The sequence below is a fragment of the Homo sapiens genome, chromosome 7, assembly GCF_000001405.40.
Source record: "Homo sapiens chromosome 7, GRCh38.p14 Primary Assembly".
NCBI lineage: Eukaryota > Metazoa > Chordata > Mammalia > Primates > Hominidae > Homo > Homo sapiens.
The window spans coordinates 107,584,474-107,603,116 of NC_000007.14; the positions used below are offsets into that span (position 1 = coordinate 107,584,474).

Sequence of the window (18,643 nt, forward strand, 5' to 3'; positions counted from 1 at the left end):
CAAGGCGGGAGGATTGCCTGAGTCCAGGAGTTTGAGACTAGCCTGGGCAACATAGCAAAACCTTATCTTTACAAAAATGTAAAAATTAGCCAGGTGTGGTGATGTGCACCCATAGTCCCAGCTACTCGGGAGGCTGAGAGACTGGAGGATTGCCTGAGCCCAGAAGTTCAAGTTTGCAGTGAACTATTGCACTCCAGCCTGAGCAACAGAGCAAGATCCTTCCTTAAAAAAACAAACAAACAAACAAAACTGCAACATAGATTTGGGGACTACCGCAAAAATTTGAATATGGAGTGATTGTATAATATTAGGGAATTTTTGTTAACTTTAGTTGTGATAACAGCATTGTTACATAGCAGGGTCAGCAACCTATATAGCCTGTGGGCCAAATACCTATTTTTGTAAATAAAGTTTTATTGGGAAATGACCATGCCCATTTGTTTACATAATGTCTGTACTCGTTTTTCAGCATGTTTTAAATTTTCATGGTAACAGTATTTTAAAAATTAAAAGTAGACCTTTAGGTTCTTGTCAAACCAGAAGTTCCATGAGTCTTAGTAATCACCATGTTTTTCCAGTTGTTACTGAGCTCAGAGAAATTGAGTGACTTGTCTAAGATTATCTAGCTACTTCTTGAAATGCCCCTTCTTGCACAGAGTATGTTTTCCCTCAGAATTCCCTCAGAGTTGTTGTGTTGTTGGTTAAATAGGATTTAGAGAGGCGAACTTGGGACCCTAACCGCCATCTTTGACACTGTTTTGTGAGAAAATGTCTTCCATGTTCCAAACCACCAATCTCTCAAATAGAATCCTCTTTATAAAACTAAGAACATCTGGTATGAGAAGGGATGGTATTGTCAAAAACAGAAAGGTGTGAATGATTTGTGCCTCTTTTCAAGATGTAAATATTTGTCTCATGGTACATTATTAATGTTATGGATTGAATCTCTAGCCATATAACTAGTTATGAGAAGTCAGTAAAGAACAATAAGGAAAACCGGTTCCAGTTCTGCCACCAGCTAACTAAAGGACCTTTGAAATGGCTTTTATTTCCTGGGTTTGATTTATTCATCTTGTGAAATAAAGGGAGAGATGGAAAGAATCTCTGCAGCTCCTGATTTTATGATCTTCTAACTCTAAAATTATCACAAAAATTTCTATTGAAAACTGTCACTTATCATGTAAGGGAGGGGAGTTGTAGTATAAGTTCTTTTGGTTACATTAGAAACAAACTTGGCCGGGCGCGGCGGCTCACCTCTGTAATCTCAGCACTTCGAAAGACCAAGGCAGGTGGATCAACCTAAGGTCAGGAATTCCAGACCAGCTTGGCCAACGTGGTGAAACCCTGTCTCTACCAAAAATACAAAAATTAGCCGGGCATGGGGGCGCGTGCCTGTAATCCCAGCTACTCAGGAAACTGAGGCAGGAGAATTGTTTGCACCCGAGAGGCAGAGGTTGCAGTGAGCCGAGATCGCGCCATTGCACTGCAGCCTGGGTGACAAGAGTGAAACTCCGTCTCAAAAAAAAAGAAACCAACTTGAACTCGCTTGACTAAAAAAGGAAAAATTTGTAATAAAATACGGGGCTGTTGCAGAGTAGCCCAAGAAAGGAAGGAAGCCAAATTCCAGGGAGGGATTAGTACTTGGAACTGAAATGTCCTTTTCTTGGCCATATACATTTTTCCTATATATACTTCATTCTTTTTTATTATGGACTCTGATATTCTGTCTATCTCCAAGGCAGTAAATGGGTACCACACAGCTGCCAGGTGTGGTACCCATTCCAGACGTATGCAAGGGTTAATTCATCATCTCTGAATCCCAATTCCACATCAAAGGAAAAAAAATTGGACCAGCTAGTACCAGTTATCTACTCCTCATCTCCTATAACCAGGAAGGTCACAAGGGAGAATCATGACTGCTGGCTGAAGCCTGCATCTTTGGGTAAACAGGGCAATTAATTCCCAGAGAACAAGGACATCATGGATAGTTAAGGCAACCAGATAGGTGCTTATCCTCTAGGTCTCCATCCAAAATGGAGTAATGACACCTACTTTCGTGTTTTAAGATTTAAACGCAGTAACATATGTAAAGTGCAGAGTCTGATGTTCGAGTCCACAACGATGTAAATAATGCAAAACCAGTGGATTACTCATGCTTAATTTATATTTTACTTGGAAATTTATTTCCTTTTTCTTGGTTATCTCTCTAAATAAGGTAACTTTTTTATACATTTTCTTTTTATATGTATTTATTCTTTTTTTTTTTTTTTTTGTGACGGGGTCTCACTCTGTCACCAAGGCTGAAATGCAGTGGTGCGATCTCAGCTCACTGCAACCTCCACTTTCCAGGCTCAAGTAATTCTCCAGCTGCAGCCTCCCAAGTAGCTGGGACTACAGGCGAGAGCCACCAACCCCTGGCTAATTTTTGTTTTTTTTAATAGAGACAGGGTTTTGTCATGTTTCCCAGGCTGGTCCCAAACTCCTGAGCTCAAAGCGATCCGCCCACTTCGGCTTCCCAAAGTGCTGGGATTACAGGCATGAGCCACTGCACCCAGCCAAAATAAGGTAGCTATTAAGAAGTGTTTGTATTCTTAGAGCCAACACTAACTGAGTGTGTGCATACAAGTGTGTGTGCATGTGTGTGTATTTTAGGTGCTGGTAAGAGACAGAATGGAAGTGGGAATTTCAAGAGTGTGTTTAGTGTTAGCAGAAATGCATCCCAGGAATTTGAAAGTTTCCATAACTGATCTAAAATTGGATCATCTTCAGGTGGTTTATAGAAAATTGACTATATGTCACATCCTTCCCTTATTGTTGACTCCATTCCATTTTTCAGACATAGTTACCTTTTTAGTATACAGGTGATGTATTCTACAGGTATGTTTACATGACCATTGACATTAATAAACCTTTTTAATATTATTGGTTAATCTTCAGCTTTTCTGCATAATGGATTCAGGAGTATTATTCCCATTTAATTACCAAGGAAGATGAATCACGAAGCATAATGATCCTTCATAGTACTCACTATTTGCCTATTTAAAATAAGTCGTAAATATATATTATCTTTGTTGGTTTTTTGGTAGTGGTTGGCATGCTCTTACTATATTATTGAGGCAATCTGAGAAATGACAAAGGGGAAATAGCCATTAAGATACAGGAAATTTTCTAAAGATCATTTAAGAGACTACTTTATATAACTATGCAAATAAATTGGAAAACCTAGATAAAATGTATAATTTTGTAGAAAAATATGATTTACCAAATGAACACCAGTAGATATAGAAAATTTAAGCAGACTAATTTATATAGAAAAATTATAGAAAGTTATCAAAAAGGACCCCTATTTGAAAAAAAAAGCAAAAAACCAGATAGTTTTATAAGAAACCCTACTGCTTTCAGAAAACAGATATTACTACTGCTTCTTAAACTGTTCTAGAATTTAAACTTCAAATTGTACAGAGCTAGAAAAAAGCAAGCTGTAGAATTGAAAATAAGTCAGAACAAATGAACTGAATAGTACATCAGATTGCAATATATAACACAGAGAAAAATAATTACTCTTGAACATAGTACTCTTAACTTTTTACCTCGCTGGTAGGGTACATTTTAAGAACCAAGAGGATTACAATGAAATCTGAAACTTTATAATAGTTTTATTGTTGGTAATTTAAAAGCTGTTTTATGTATAGTGCAGCATCAAGCAAATTAGTATGTTCATGGTATTAGAAACTAAGACTTTCAGGAATAGATATGGCATACAAATATAAAGTCAAAAATTAAGGATTTTTTAAGTTTTAGAGTGATTTATTTGGGTTTTATTTTGGAGTATGGAAATGTGGAACTAGATAGAGGTGGTAGTTGCACAGCATTGTGAATATACTAAGCATGACTGAATTGTTCACTTTAAAGTGTTTACTTTTATGTTATATGAATTTTGCCTCAATAAATTAAAACAATTTTGTTAAAGACATAGGAGTCTGGCTTTGTTCATAGCAAAACGGGTTGTATTAGACTATTTCTCCTGTGTTAAAAATTATGAACCCTCGATAAAATACGAAAAAAGGTATTTGAAGGCCTTGTAGAGCAACCAAAAGCAGGCAGAAACTAGAGGGACGTCAACCCTTAAAAGAAGGGAATCATACTGGGTGTGATCACATTTATATAGCCTTTCTTCCAACCGCTTTCCAGTCATGTGGCATAGACAACGATATAGAACTCAAAGCAAAAAGACAGTCTTAACTGACTTAAGGGGTCAGAGGTCAGATAGATTCAAAAATAAGAAGGATGTCTAAGAAAGGAGAGAACCCAAAAAGGGAACCCCAAAATCCACATGTAAACTCCCCTTAAATTCTTGGTTGACTCTTCAACCATGGATGTGTAGGAAAGATTCCAAGGAAATCAATGAAAAGGAACAGCCAGCAAAAAGCAGCAAGGCTGAGAAGAAATTTTGGCTGCTGGCCACCAAGGAGAGACAGAGTTTGGAGTATGAGCCTCATCACGTTAGAGGGGCTTGGTAAAGACCTTGAACCTTTCCACTAAAATCACAGAAGGGCTACTCCTTAGGAATAGAGACTATATCCCAGGAATTAGAAATTTACTATAACTAAGGCCTAAAGCAAAATAGACTTACCCTAAAAAAGTATAAAAATCAAGCCTCTCTAAACAGCTGTAAACTGTACATCAGCAGTCCCCACCCTTTTTGGCACCAGGGACCAGCTTCATGGAAGACAGTTTTTCCATATGCAGGAGCAGGGGATGGTTTCGGGATGATTCAAGCACATTAAATTTATATGCACTTCATTTCTATTATTATTACATTGTAATATATAATGAAATAATTATGCAACTCACCGTAATGTAGAATCACTGGGAGCCCTGAGCTTGTTTCCTACAACTGGACATTCTCATCTGGGGATGATGGGAGATGGTGGCAGATCATCAGGCATTAGATTCTCATAAGAAGCATGCAACCTAGATCCCTTGCACGCGCAGTTCACAAAAGGGCTTCCACTCCTATGAGAATCTAATGCCACCACTGATCTGATAGCTTGGGCAGTAATGTGAGCGATAAGGAGTGGCTGTAAATACAGATGAAGCTTTGCTCACTGGCCTGCCAATCACCTCCTGCTGTGCAGCCCAATTCCTGACAGGCCGTGGAGCAGTACAGGTGCATGGCTCCAGGTGTTGGGGACCCCTGCTGTACATAATCTTTGCAAGGGCACATGAATATACTAAACTCTCTTCACCAAGATACACTATATTCTGGGCCATAAAACAAGTCTCAATAAATACAAAGGATTGAAGTCCTACCAAGGATTGGAATCATATAGAGTATGGGGGTTTTGTTTTTGTTGTTTTATAGAGACAGACTTTCGCTTTGTTGCCCAGGCTGGTCTCAAACTCCTGGCCTCAAGTGATCCTTCCTGTTCCCAAAATGCTGGGATTACAGATGAGAGCTACTGTGCCCAGCCCCTACAGAGTATGAAAATAGAAATCAGTAACAGAAATCTGGAAAACCTATACATGTTTGAAAATTAAACAAGACTTGTTAGTAATCCTTGGGTCAAAGAACTCACAAAGGAAATTAGAAAATATTTTAACTGAACAATAATGAAAATACAATATATTAAAATTTTAAGATGCCATTAAAGCACTGCTTAAAGGAAAAATTATAGATTTGAATATTTATTTTTAAAAAAGATTTAAAATCGGTGATTTTAGTTTCCACCTTAATAATATCTACCCATTATATTGAATATTGACAGTGAAAAAAATAATATTCACTCAGTTGTTTTTTAAAGATTTAGAAGGAAGATTTCTCATTCTGATGAAGAGCTACAAAAAACCTCAAGCTAGCATCATACTTAAATATCAAAGTCTTCCCCCATAAGATTGGAAACAAGGCAAGGATATTTACACTCTGTTTATTCATTTGAGTAATAGATGTCCTAGCCAGGGTAATAATAAGTCATGAAAGAAATGAAAGGCTTAAAGATTGCAAAGAAAGAAGTAAAATATCCTTATTTGCAGATGACACGATTATTTATATAGAAAATCCTGGCCTGGCACAGTGGCTCACTCCTGTAATCCCACCACTTTAGGAGGCTGAGTTGGGCAGATTGCTCAAGCTCAGGAGTTGCAGACCATCCTGGGCAACATGGCTAAACCCCGTCTCTACCAGAAAGTACAAAAATTAGCCAGGCATGGTGGCTCATGCTTGTAGTCCCAGCTACTCAAAAGGCTGAGGTGGGAGAGTTGCTTGAGCCCAAGAGGTCAAGGCTGCAGTGAGACGTGATCACATCACTGCACTCCAGCCTGGGTGACAAAGCGAGACCCTGTCTCAGAAAAAAAAAAAAAAAAGAAAGAAAGAAAGAAAGAAATAATCCTAAAGTATCTACAAGAAAGTTATTATGTCAAAGAAATTAATATAGTGGGGTCACAAAATACAGGTGGGTCAGTATACAAAAATTCAGTGTATCAGTAATTGTATTTCTATACTATAAGCAGTAAACAATAGGCAAATGACATTTTTAAAAATTCCTTTTCTAAGTACACCAAGAAGCCTAAAAACCTTAGAAATAAACTTTATAAAAGAGGCACAACAGCTCTATACAGAAAACTACAAAAACATTGCTGAAAGAAAATCAAAATAAATGGGGATTTTTCATCAGTTGGAATACTCAATATTATTAAAATGTTTGTTCTTCCAAAATTCTACGGACATAACACAGTCCCTGTCAGAAACCCAACAGGCATTTTTGTAGCAGTTGATCAGTTGCTTCTAAAATTTATGCAGACATGCAAAGAACTCATAAAACAGTCAAAAAATCTTTACAAATAACAAAATTGGGAGACTCACACTACCAGATTTCAACAGTAAAGGGGAAAATAAAAACAGGTTAGTGGGCTTTATCTAATCAGCTGAAAGCCTTAATAGAACAAAGATTGACCTCCTCTGAGCAAAAAGGAATTTTGACCGCAGGTTGCCTTTGGACTCAAGATGTATTTCTTCCCTGGATCTCCAGACTGCCAGTCTACCCTCCAGATTTTAAACTTAACAAGCCTCTACGAGCATATGAGCCAGTTCCTTAAAATAAATCTCGAGCTCTCTCTCTCTCTTTCTCTCTCTGTCTGCCCCCTGTACCACTTTTCCCCATACACACATACACACACACACACACCCTATTGGTTCTTTTTCCCTGGAGAACCCTTACATCTTAACTAAGTAATCAAATTTAGCATCAAAAAGTATGAGACAAACTAACATTACACAGCATAAACTATGAGGGATTCTTGCCAAAAGTATTAAACCTTATCCAATCAAGTATTTGTTTTATTTTATTTTTACTTTCTGAGGCCTGGCAGAACCAATCAAGTCTGACTTCTGGTTTTCTAAAAATACAGGAGTTAGAGAAAGAAATTGGACTACACTCAGACAAATTCAGAATGTGAGAACTTTCTTTGTGCTTATTTTTTTTTTAATATTTAAAAAAAGAGACAGGGTCTTGCCATTTTGCGCATGCTGGTCTCCATCTCCTGGCCTCATGCTATCCTTCTGCCTCTGCCTCCCAAAGTGCTGGGATTACAGGTGTTAGCCACCACACCCAGCCAGAATGTGAGAACTTTCTAGAAAACAATTGGCCTGGCACCTTTTTAAAAAAGTATTATATGTCAAGAGACTACAGAAACATAACTATATGTAATGAGTATCCATTATAAAATTCTCAGTTTGAAAAAAATTCTATGAAAGACATTTGGGAGACAAATAAAGCAAATAACCCAATTTAAAAATGGGTAAAGGATCTGAATAGATATTTTTCCAAAGATGATATACAAATGATCAACAAGCACATGAAAAGATGTTCAACAGCATTAGCTATCAGAGAAATGCAAATAAAAACCACAAAGAAATGCCACTTTACACCCACTAGGATGACTATAATCAAAAATATAATAACAAGTGTTGCTGAGGATATGGAGAAATTGGAACCAACATACACTGCTTGTGGGAATGTAAAGTAGTACAGCTGCTTTGGAATACAGTTTGGCAGTTCCTCAAAAATTAAACATAGAGTTACCATATGGCCCAGCAGTTCATCTCTTAGGTATGTACCAAGAGAAATGAAAGCACATGTCGATATAAAACTTGCACATGAATGTTCGTAGCAGCGTTATTCATAATAGCCGGAAGGTGGAAACAGCTCAATGCCATCAACCAATGAATAGATAAACCAAATGTTACCACATTCATACAATGGAATATTATTCAGCCATAAAAGTAATGAAGTACTGACACATACTACAGTGCAGACGAACTTTGAAAGCATTATGCTAAGTGAAGGAAGCCAGACACAAAAGAGCAGATAGTATATGATTCAGTTTATATGAAATGTCTAGAACAGGTAGTTCTGTAGAGACAGAAAGCAGATTGCTGGTCACCAGGAGCTGAGGGATGTGTATAGATTTTCTTTGTGGGGTGACCAAAATGTTCTGAAATTAGATAGTGGTAATGGTTATACAACTTTGTGAATATACTAAAAACTACTGAATTATACATTTTAAAGAGGTAAATTTTTATGGTATGTGAATTACATCTCAATAAAGCTGCTAAAAATAAAATAGTAGTCAAAAAGGCCCCAGTTTTCTAACTGGAGTCTCCTTGTGTGGCAATAACTCTTACCCAAGACTTCTGTTGGTCGCATGAAAGGGGAGCATTCAAACTTGTTCATATACTTCCACTGGCTTTTGAGACCTTATAAGGCAGATGCCTTCCCTAGTACATACAAGAATCCAGGAACTAAGAATGCACTCAATGTAGACCCTTATAAGCTGATATCTATTTTCCACTGGAAAGAAGTGGTTCCCCTGCATCTGAGACTTCCCAGAACTGAAAGCATCAAAGGAGCAGCTATCTGAACCTTTCCAGTAGCAGCTGCTATGCACTAGTCGGAGGAGTGTATGCCACCACAGATCAAATCCCATGTTAACAAACTTATGCCAGTGGAAATTTCAGTATAACCAAATATTTTGAAAATCTCAATCATTTAAAGTAATAATATGTAATAAAATGCTAGTGTAGTAAGAGAAATGGGATAGTCTCTTGGAATTGATTGTAATGGGATATGACATCTGTCATTGTCAATAGGCTGAATTTTAGTCATCTTAGAGACAGAAAATGTAAAGGATAATAGTTTGCAGTGTAGTTAGAGATGAGAAACAATAAAATGATGGTAAGTACTAGATGAATAATTTTAAAAATGCTATAGTAATTCAAAATTTGCTACTAGTGTCCATTTATAGAGCACCTACTTTGAGCATGAAAAGTTCCCGGGTACTGTAGACGGAATGACATAAAGGTCGCCTCTGCCTAAAGTCCATTATTTAAAAGTTTGGTCAGTTTTTCTAAAACTGCTTTCCATTTTTAACAAGCTTATATTCGTAAAAGCCAAAAGTACTGTTTTCTTTTGTTCTGTAATAGATGCTGTGAGAGAAGTAAGGAAATATTCCTCAGTTCATACCATTGAGAAGAGCTCCACCAGCAGACCTGATGCCTATGAACACACACAGATGAAACTTTTTAGGTCTCAAAGAAATCTTTACATTTCTGGATTTTCCCTATTTTTTTGGCTGTAAGTAAAAAATAATAATAGAAGCACAATTTAAAAACATGACTTATGCTTTCCTTTCTCATTTTGTCCACCTTTACTGTAGATTTTTTTTTTTTTTAAGAGAGACAACCTTTCGCTCTGTTGCCCAGGCTGCAGTGCAGTGGTGCCTTCATAGCTCACTGTAACTTCAAACTCCTGGGTTCAAGTGATCCTGCCTCTTCAACCTCTCATTTCTAGGACTACAGGCGGCACACCACCATGTAGGGCTAATTTTTAAATTTTTTGTAGAGATGGGGTCTCACTGTGTTGCCCAGACTGGTCTCAAACTCCTGGCCTCAAGTGATCCTCCCACCTCAGCCTCCCAAAGTACGGAGATTACAGTCACTGTACCCAGCCTACTGTAGTTTTGTTTGTTTGTTTGTTTGTTTGTTTTTTAAGATGGAGTCTCGCTTTGTCGCCCAGACTGGAGTGCAGTGGCGCGATCTCGGCTCACTGCAAGCTCCACCTCCTGGGTTCACACCATTCTCCTGCCTCAGCCTCCTGAGTAGCTGGGAGTACAGGCGCCTGCCACTGTGCCCTGCTAATTTTTTTGTATTTTCAGTAGAGACAGGGTTTCACTGGGTTAGCCAGGATGGTCTCGATCTCCTGACCTCATGATCCTCCCGCCTCGGCCTCCCAAAGTGCTGGGATTACAGATGTGAGCCAACGCGCCCGGCCTGTAGATTTTTTTATAACATCTTTGTAAAAGAATTCAGATGATATACCCAAATAACAAACAGTAGTTAACAGCTTGTAGGTTTGCCCAGTCCATAAGGCCCTGAATGATTAGGCTCCTGCCTCTCTTTGGAGCCTTGTCTCATACGTGTCTCTGAGATGTACAATACATTCCACCCTTACAGACCTTCACCATTTATTCATTCATTCCATCTTGCAACAGATATTGATTGAGTTCTGTGGTGTACCTAACTCTTTCCCATTTTAGGGTCTTTACACAAGCTCTTCCTTTTGCCAGAACACTCTTTTCTTTCCTCATTTCCTGGCTAACTCTTACTCATCCATTAGCCTCTTTCTCAAAGCCTTCTGTGGCCATCACTACCCACAAAGTAGGTAGGTCTTCTCTTACAGGTGCTCAAAGAATGTATATATACTTCATTTTCTAGTGTCATTCATGGTTGTAATTAAATACTGTTTTAACTTTTGCTTCCACAACTAGGAGCTAAACCCCTGAGGGCATGGACTTTGCTGTTTTCCGCTGTGTCTGCAGTGCCTGGCAGAGTGTCTTAACACTTAGCAGTTCCTGAGTAAAGGAATGTCTGCTGAATGAATAATTGAAGATAGTCATCACTATTTCTTCTAACAATGGCAGTTACACATAAACGGATGTGAATGAGCTGTTCTTCGGCTTGTTTGACCTTACACAATGTTCCTTAAATAGCAGAATTTGAACTGGGCCAAAAAAAATAATTCTCCTACTGGCCCTGTCACACTGTCTGAAATTTTCCTGTTTCTATTCCTCCAAGCTAAAGCCTTCTACAGGAAAACAAATAAGTACCACTGAACCTGTATTCTAAATGCTGGTCTTCTAACAAAGATTCCAAAGGAATGAGACACGGGCCTGTTTTTACTAAGAGACTTGAATTAAAAAAAGAATAATGGGTTCTGCCTAAACATTATCTGCCACCACCACACCTATATCTAATGGGGAGTAATTTGGCAATGACTGTTTTAAAATAAGTTTCTGGTGATTGGCCAGTAATACATTATTCTGGTTTTTTTTCTTAGAGTTTTGAGACGTCTGGTTACGCTTATTACTCAACTGGCAAAAGAACTGTCAAACAAAGGTGTACTTAAAACTCAAGCAGAAAATACTAACAAGGCTGCCAAAAAATTTATGGAAGAAAACGAAAAACTAAAAAGGGTATTTAATTTTCTTTGTAAAAATTAAATGTTGTTGGTGTTCCCGAGGAGTAATGTATTTGTTTTCAGCATCAAAAAGAGCATTTTTATATTTTATAAGCAGAAAATGACCATAATTAACAATATTTTATGTAATGATTATTTCAAGAATAGTTTTACTGTTCTTTAGAAATGCTTGTTCACACTAATATTTTTACTATTATTTAGATTTGCTTTTTCTCCATAGTGGATTTATACCATTGGACCTATTTTCTGTGATTTAAGGAGAAAATAGTATTCTGGGAATATGAATTTTAATTCCTTCATTACCGTTAAGTTTACTTTATAATCTAAAGCAAGTCTTTATAACTGTTTCTATTTCTTTTTCAGTTAAAGTATTTTTAAGCCTAGATTTTCGTTTTCTTTTAAATGATTGGTTTATAGAAAGCAGAGAAACGTCATTGATGCTAGATTGATAATTGCACATAATATTTGAAATCTTTAATGTTATTCCTTTATTTTCTATCTTTTGATCTCATTTCACAGTGGCAAAAATAAAAACACAGTCATTAAAGCTTTGATTGATAGTGTTAACTAAACTCAAAAGCACGCAGCCTTGTATTTATAGAACAACTGATCATGTACATATCTTAATTTAAAATTATACACATCATTTTGGAGTAATGATTTGTAACCATCAGAACACTGCTTTTTTTCCTCTTCAATTGTTTTTCTCTTATTCTTTAGCTCTAAGAAAATGGAAAGTGTTATTTTTTTCATACATACCATACTTAATACACTTAAATTAGTCTTGCCCTTTTAAAAAAAGCACCTTCCTCAAAATACTTTTGCAACTTTTCTCTTGGAATTGTTTTCAGAACCATTTACCCATGCAAGGAAACTTATGTCATGATTACCAATTCCTTGACCCTGCGTGATTTATTCTTTCTGTTTGTTTGTTTTCCTCTCCTTTGTTTCCATACTGTCCTGATTTGCTGCTTCCTGCATAGCTGTGACCCAATCAGAGGAGGCACAGATATGCTGGGCTAAAGCCAGTACACAGTGGGGAGAAAGTCTTTGAGCAGCACATAAAAGCAGCTGTCAGTGCCCAGAGTATAACTAATTGACCAATAAAGTGACCAACAAAGGCCATAAGTGAGAATATAAAAGATGACGTCTGTTTCAAGGTACTTCATGTAGGTTTTGAAAAATAAGCTAAGGAAAGATAAGCTTGTGAAAACACCCCCTTTGTTTTGTCCTTCCTTCCTTTCTTTCCTTTCCTCTCCTTCCCTCCCTTCCTCCCCAGACTGATCTCAAACTTTTGGCCTCAAGCAGTCTTCCCACCTTGGCCTCCAGAAGTGCTGGGATTATAGGCAAGAGTTACCGCGCCCAGCCATACCTCTTCATTCTCTATCAGAGACACATTATCCAGTGGAAACTGCATTACCCTGAGATCCGAGAGACTTAGGTGCTAGTTCCAACATGTGACCTAGCACAAATCACCTATGTTAATGGGCCTCAAAGTTCCTTAGCTATAAATAATAGTTAACATTGTGCCAGGTATTGCTTCATATGCTTCACAACAAGGTTTTTAACTGTTAATTTTCACAAAAGTCCCTTGAGTTTGGTATTGTTATTATCTGCATTTTATAGATGAGGAAATGGAGGCATAGAAAGGTTAAGTGACTTGTACAAGATCATTCAACTAATATGTGACAGAACTAAAATTTGAACCTAAGCAGCCTGACTCTAGAATCCACATTCATAACCACATTATTTTGTGCCCTCAACTCCTATGTTATCTGATAGAACAATTTCCACGTGGTACCTATGACCACTTTCTGTTCTGATATTCAGTTAAAGAAATGAAATAATTATGAAAGACCAATTAACTTTTAATTTTACTTCTTCAGTGTGATAGAGCTTTACTTTGTCCTGATTTTTTTTTCCAGCCACGTAACTTAACCAAGGTGGGATAATTTGGATTAGACAGTGAACGCTTGCATTGTTGTAGCTGGTAATCATTAAATTTCAGATTTCAGTGTTCTTGGTCTTTCTCCAGCGTCAAGTTACACATCATAAATTTAGGCAAGTTTACAGGTGCAGTAGTGAAAGCTTATTTACAAGACTAACACAAATCCACCTTTTCCAAGTCAATGGCATGAAAATTCAAGCAGTCAGCGAAAACGTTCCTGCAACTCAATGATTCTCTTCTAATTTGGGTAATCACTGGAGATTTTATGAACTGAATTCAGTGAAGTAATAGCTGGAGTTGTTTTCAACTTGAAGTAGGCAACACATTAAAAGAGATTTGGAGAAATTTTTTTCTTGTGCTGCTCTTTACAAAAAAGAAAAACTTTTAATTTGAGAAGATATGAGGCTCCTTTAGTTTCAGAATGTATTTCAATCCTCCCTTCTCCAAAAAACAGTCCTTGGGATTATATAATATATGCATTAGAGCTTTAATTCCTTCTCTGAGCTGCCTAATCTCTATATAGCACAGTAGTACTGTATTTGGTCTTGTGCTACAGTTTTTATGCTCGTTTCGTCCTTTCTACTAGATTGAAGTTATTCAAAAGTAGAGACCATGTTTCTCTTATATTTTTATCTCTTACAGCACCTTACATTGTAAAAATATTTGCATGTAGTCATTGCTCAGTAGAACTTTGTATTTTGATGAATATATTGGCTTACATTAGAAAATGAATCACCCTGCAGTGAAATTCCTCTTATGTTAGTCTGTTTAAAATTCTCCTGTGTTCCTTTTTTACCTGACTATAGAACCTGTCAGTATCAAGTTGCTGCCACTGGCCAGGTGCAGTGGCTGATGCCTGTCATCTTAGCACTTTGGGAGGCTGAGGTGAGAAGATTGCTTGAGGCCAGGAATTTAAGACCAGCCTGGGCAATACAGTATACACACACACACACACACACACACACACACACACACACGCACGCACATATATGTGCACACGTGTATATATAAATTTATATATCTATAAATTTATATATATTTATAGATCTACAAATTTATATATATAAATTTATATTAAAAATTTGTATATATATAAAATATATTTATAAATATATAAATATATTAAAAATTTATATGTATATAAATATATATTTATAAATATATAAATATATTAAAAATTTATATGTATATAAATATATATTTATAAATATATAAATATATTAAAATTTATATGTATATAAATACATATTTATAAATATATATATACATAATTATATATATTTATATATAAATATATATAATTTTTATATATATATTTATATATAATTTTTATATATAAATTATATATAAATTTTATATATATATATATAAATATATATATGCACACATATATATATATATAATTTTTTGTAAAATTAGCCTGCCATGGTGGCACACGCCTATAGTCTCAGCTACTCAAGAGGCTGAGATGGGAGGATCACTTAAGCCCAGGAGGTCAGGGCTGAAGAGACTATGGGTTGCACCACTGTACTCCAGCCTGGGTGACAGAGTGAGACCCTGTTTCTTAAAAAAAAAAAAAGAAAAAAAAGTAGCTGCCTGCCTCTTTATTTAATCTATTGACCCACAACAGTATACATATTATGTTTTTCAAACATTTACTTTGTCTTTCTAGGTAATTTAAATGCTTTATCATTTCTTTAAGTCAGCTTCTTAGTTCTGATGATAATTATAGTTTCTGTACACAATACAGATGATTAAATTTTTACTCCATGATAATTTTATTTTGATCAGTTGTTTTACTATATGGATCTTAATTTTTCTTACCTAGAAAAGATAAGCTACAAACACTAACATTTTTAAAGCCAGAATCAATTTTAAAATATAAAGAGCATTATAAAGGATTAATGGAATAACAGTAATTTGGAAACTATTCAATGAAAATTAGAACTTTCCAGCTGTAGAAATGGTCCTGTCATTTCCCACTTACCCATCTCCACTCTGACATATTCTTCTCTTACAAATTTGTCTGTATAAAAATAGGCTGAGTAGATAGCTCTACAATCAGAACATAATGGTTTTCTAATTAATATCATCCTCAGAACTGTTTTTTTCCCTTAGATTTACATTTCTCATTAATTGAGGAAGAAAGACTGACGTTATTTACCTAAATACTTTTGAGAATATTATTTTAATCACAGCAACTAGAAATTCTTATGTTCATTTTACAGATTTTGCCATAATAGGAAATCTTTTTTGTGTGTTTCCCAAATATTAAGTTTCTGTTAGCAAAAGTACATTGTAGAAAACTATAAAATTCTGAAAAGGACAAAGAATAAATTATAAACAGGTAAGTTTAGATAGGTTACTCAGCTTATTTTCTGTAAGAATGTCTGGCTATTGCAATCTAAGCTTATTTCTTCCTGTATCTCCTTTTGCAATAGATTTTGAAAAGCCATGGTAAAGATGAAGAATGTGTTTTGGAAGCAGAAAATAAAAAACTAGTAGAAGACCAGGAGAAACTGAAAACTGAATTAAGGAAGACTTCAGATGGTAACTTTGTGTACATGTGAAAAAGTAAAAAGACTAGCATGATATTTTATGCTGTACACTTCACTGTTTTTCCTAAAACAAAACTAATGCCTAAATGTTCTTCTAAGATACCGAGAATGACCTATTTATAAATTCTTGTTCAAATATGAAGATAAAACATTATGTCAGCCAAGAGAAACATGCTCTGTTATACAGAAAAACATGTAGGTGTTTCAGATCTGTGTTGTAAATACAGATGTTCTTGCCTTAGCAAAAGAGCTGTGTTCCTAAAAAGTTGTTTATAAATGTGTTTTTATAAAAAGAATCACATTTTTCCATCATCGTATATTCCTCCTCTCAGAGAAGCAATTGTAGGGGAACAGTTTTCTTACAAGAAAATATATTGTTTATTTCAAGCACTAATATATTCTACCTGTTAGACATAAGGAAAGCGTTCCTTGAAAGAGGTGGGTAGGCACAGAGTAGGCAACAATATCTGGGATGTCAGCTAAGAATTTGAGTGCCTCCTTCCCACATAACATTGCAGTGTAGGCTTGAAGTGGAGCATCCCAACTCCATTTTCCTGAAGGCAGCAATTTCTTCTACATTAAAAAAAAAAGTTTTGCTAGTGTTTTTTTCTTAGTCAAAGAACAAATTATTTTTGTTGCATCTGCACAGCACAGAAAAGTAGATAACCCAAATTCAGTGTCATCCAAGAAAACTCAGTGTAAGTTTGTGGCTTGATGATTTGCAACATTTCTGCATACAACAGATAGTTTTTTATGTTGGCCAGACACTGAGAAACCTCACTTTCAGTTGGTGTTAAGGTACGTTGTTTGGATAGGGTTTACTTCAATCAGGGTGTATTTGAATTTGAGATGAAAAACATAAAAATAAAAGCTAATTCTGTGAATAGAACAGAAATCCACTGGAGAATATTTATGTGATACAAAATTCTTTAGTCACGTTCCTCCTTATTATTTCAAGTGAAAAAAAGAAGACAGTTCAGAAGCAATAAGTTAAAAAATAAATTACCCTTATAGACAAAGTGGTATATTATGTAGTTGGCATAGTATAGCCCAAAATTCAAGAATCTTCTAGTTGGTACTGTTGCCTTTTCTGTAATTCCAAAAGATTTCGAACATGATCAAGAAATGTTATTGTTTATATGAAAATGAATTTAATAGTTACCTACCGTTTACAACAGACATTTCAGAAGAGAAACTAGTGTTCTTTTTTAACCCTGCATAAAATATTGCTACCAATTCTTTTGAAGAATGAAACCATCTATTTCCAAAACACAAAAATATTCTTTCAAAATCCTGCTTTCTTTTTTCTGTATCCACCAAGAATCTCTTTTCTTATGTTGTAAGCAGGGTGGCACAAAAATAAAAGATAGACAAGAGTGTATGTGTGCTACACTTCTCTTAACCCTGCACAATTGAGTTTCTCCTTTCACCTTTCAAAAATTCCAGCTCTGAGATATTTTGAGTTTTAACTCTTTAAATCTGGCATAAAACTTAACTTAGTATTACATGAGCATTTCTTTAAAAGACAAAATCAGATTTTAGAAAAAATGAACTCTTTGACAATGTAAGCATTGTGTTTACAATCTGATAACAACTGATACCAGCTTCTGTGTTTGAAGTATAGACTGCAGAGCTACTTTCAAAGTGAATTAGTGTTCAGGTAAAGGCAGATTTTACCTGTTCGAGTGTGTCCTGTTTGGTTCCAGCAAGACATATAATATTTTATGAACATGTTTTATTTACCCTAAGTTTTTTTAAAAAATAACATTTGTAATGACCTTGAGAAGATCAGAGTTCCGTTTCTAAAGAAGGTGTTTCCTTGGTCATGTTCTGTTGACCTAAACCAGTTAAATTCAGTAAGGTAAGAACTAAGAAAATATATCAATTAATAGTGCATGATTTGGATGAATTCAGTGGTACAATGCTTTGTGCACAGTACCACTCAAAAATGTTCATTGATTTCTAAATATTGAGGGTGTTAAGGTGACAAGGCTTAAGAAAGATTTAGAAAGAGATCTTACATTTGAAAATTGAGTTAAAAAAAAGCAATTTTTTTTTTTAGAGGAAAATAGGGTGTTTTCCATATGAATTTTCTTATCCTTTGTGTTACTTAAATCTAAGTGAAACATTTTCTCCCAAGTGTATTATTGGAAACAAAACGTAAATACAAATGTTTATTTAAGCTAGTTAGCCCCAAATTTAAAAAGTGGCATTCTGAAGGCAGCTACTGAGAACACTCTATCAGTAGTGGCAAACACCTTCAGTTTTTAACCTCCAACTCCTATTTTGACCAAAGTTTGTAAACTATTACCGGTGCTTCCGTGCAGTAATATCACCCTAGCACAGACATTGCATTTAGTGGAAAAACCTTCTGATGTCCAAAGAGATTGATTTTAAAGGTCTCTTCCAGGAAAACTACTTATTTTCATAAATGAATACCTTCTTTTATTCTTTTTTTTTTTTTTTTTTTTTTTTGAGATGAAGTCTCACTCTGTCGCCCAGGCTGGAGTGCAGTGGTGGGATCTGGCTCACTGCAAGCTCTGCCTCCCGGGTTCACGCCATTCTCCAGCCTCAGCCTCCCAAGTAGCTGGGACTACAGGCGC

At 35.8% G+C, this 18,643-nt stretch overlaps 2 protein-coding genes across 30 annotated transcripts in view; both read left to right on the top strand.

Moving 5' to 3' along the window:
• Window positions 1-18,643, top strand: part of DUS4L-BCAP29 (DUS4L-BCAP29 readthrough) — a 59,347-nt gene that overhangs the window by 20,503 nt on the left and 20,201 nt on the right. For all 7 annotated transcript variants that reach the window (NR_163940.2, NR_163939.2, NR_163941.2 and 4 more), the window contains 3 exons: window positions 9,482-9,632; window positions 11,394-11,529; window positions 15,924-16,032. Coding sequence is in view for 4 of the 7 variants with exons in the window: in NM_001371365.2 (NP_001358294.1) it covers window positions 9,482-9,632; window positions 11,394-11,529; window positions 15,924-16,032 (396 nt within the window). In the remaining 3 variants the exon portion in view is untranslated. The remainder of the gene's footprint in view (window positions 1-9,481; window positions 9,633-11,393; window positions 11,530-15,923; window positions 16,033-18,643) is intronic.
• BCAP29 (B cell receptor associated protein 29) overlaps window positions 1-18,643 on the top strand; it is a 43,311-nt gene that overhangs the window by 4,467 nt on the left and 20,201 nt on the right. For 12 of the 23 annotated variants that reach the window (NR_163926.1, NR_163937.1, NR_027830.2 and 9 more), the window contains 3 exons: window positions 9,482-9,632; window positions 11,394-11,529; window positions 15,924-16,032. Coding sequence is in view for 9 of the 23 variants with exons in the window: in NM_001371355.1 (NP_001358284.1) it covers window positions 9,482-9,632; window positions 11,394-11,529; window positions 15,924-16,032 (396 nt within the window). In the remaining 14 variants the exon portion in view is untranslated. Of the gene's footprint in view, window positions 1-9,481; window positions 9,633-10,824; window positions 11,530-15,710; window positions 15,830-15,923; window positions 16,057-18,643 lie in introns of all 23 variants that reach the window. The other 11 variants (NR_163934.1, NR_163928.1, NR_163927.1 and 8 more) reach the window with 8 other exon arrangements.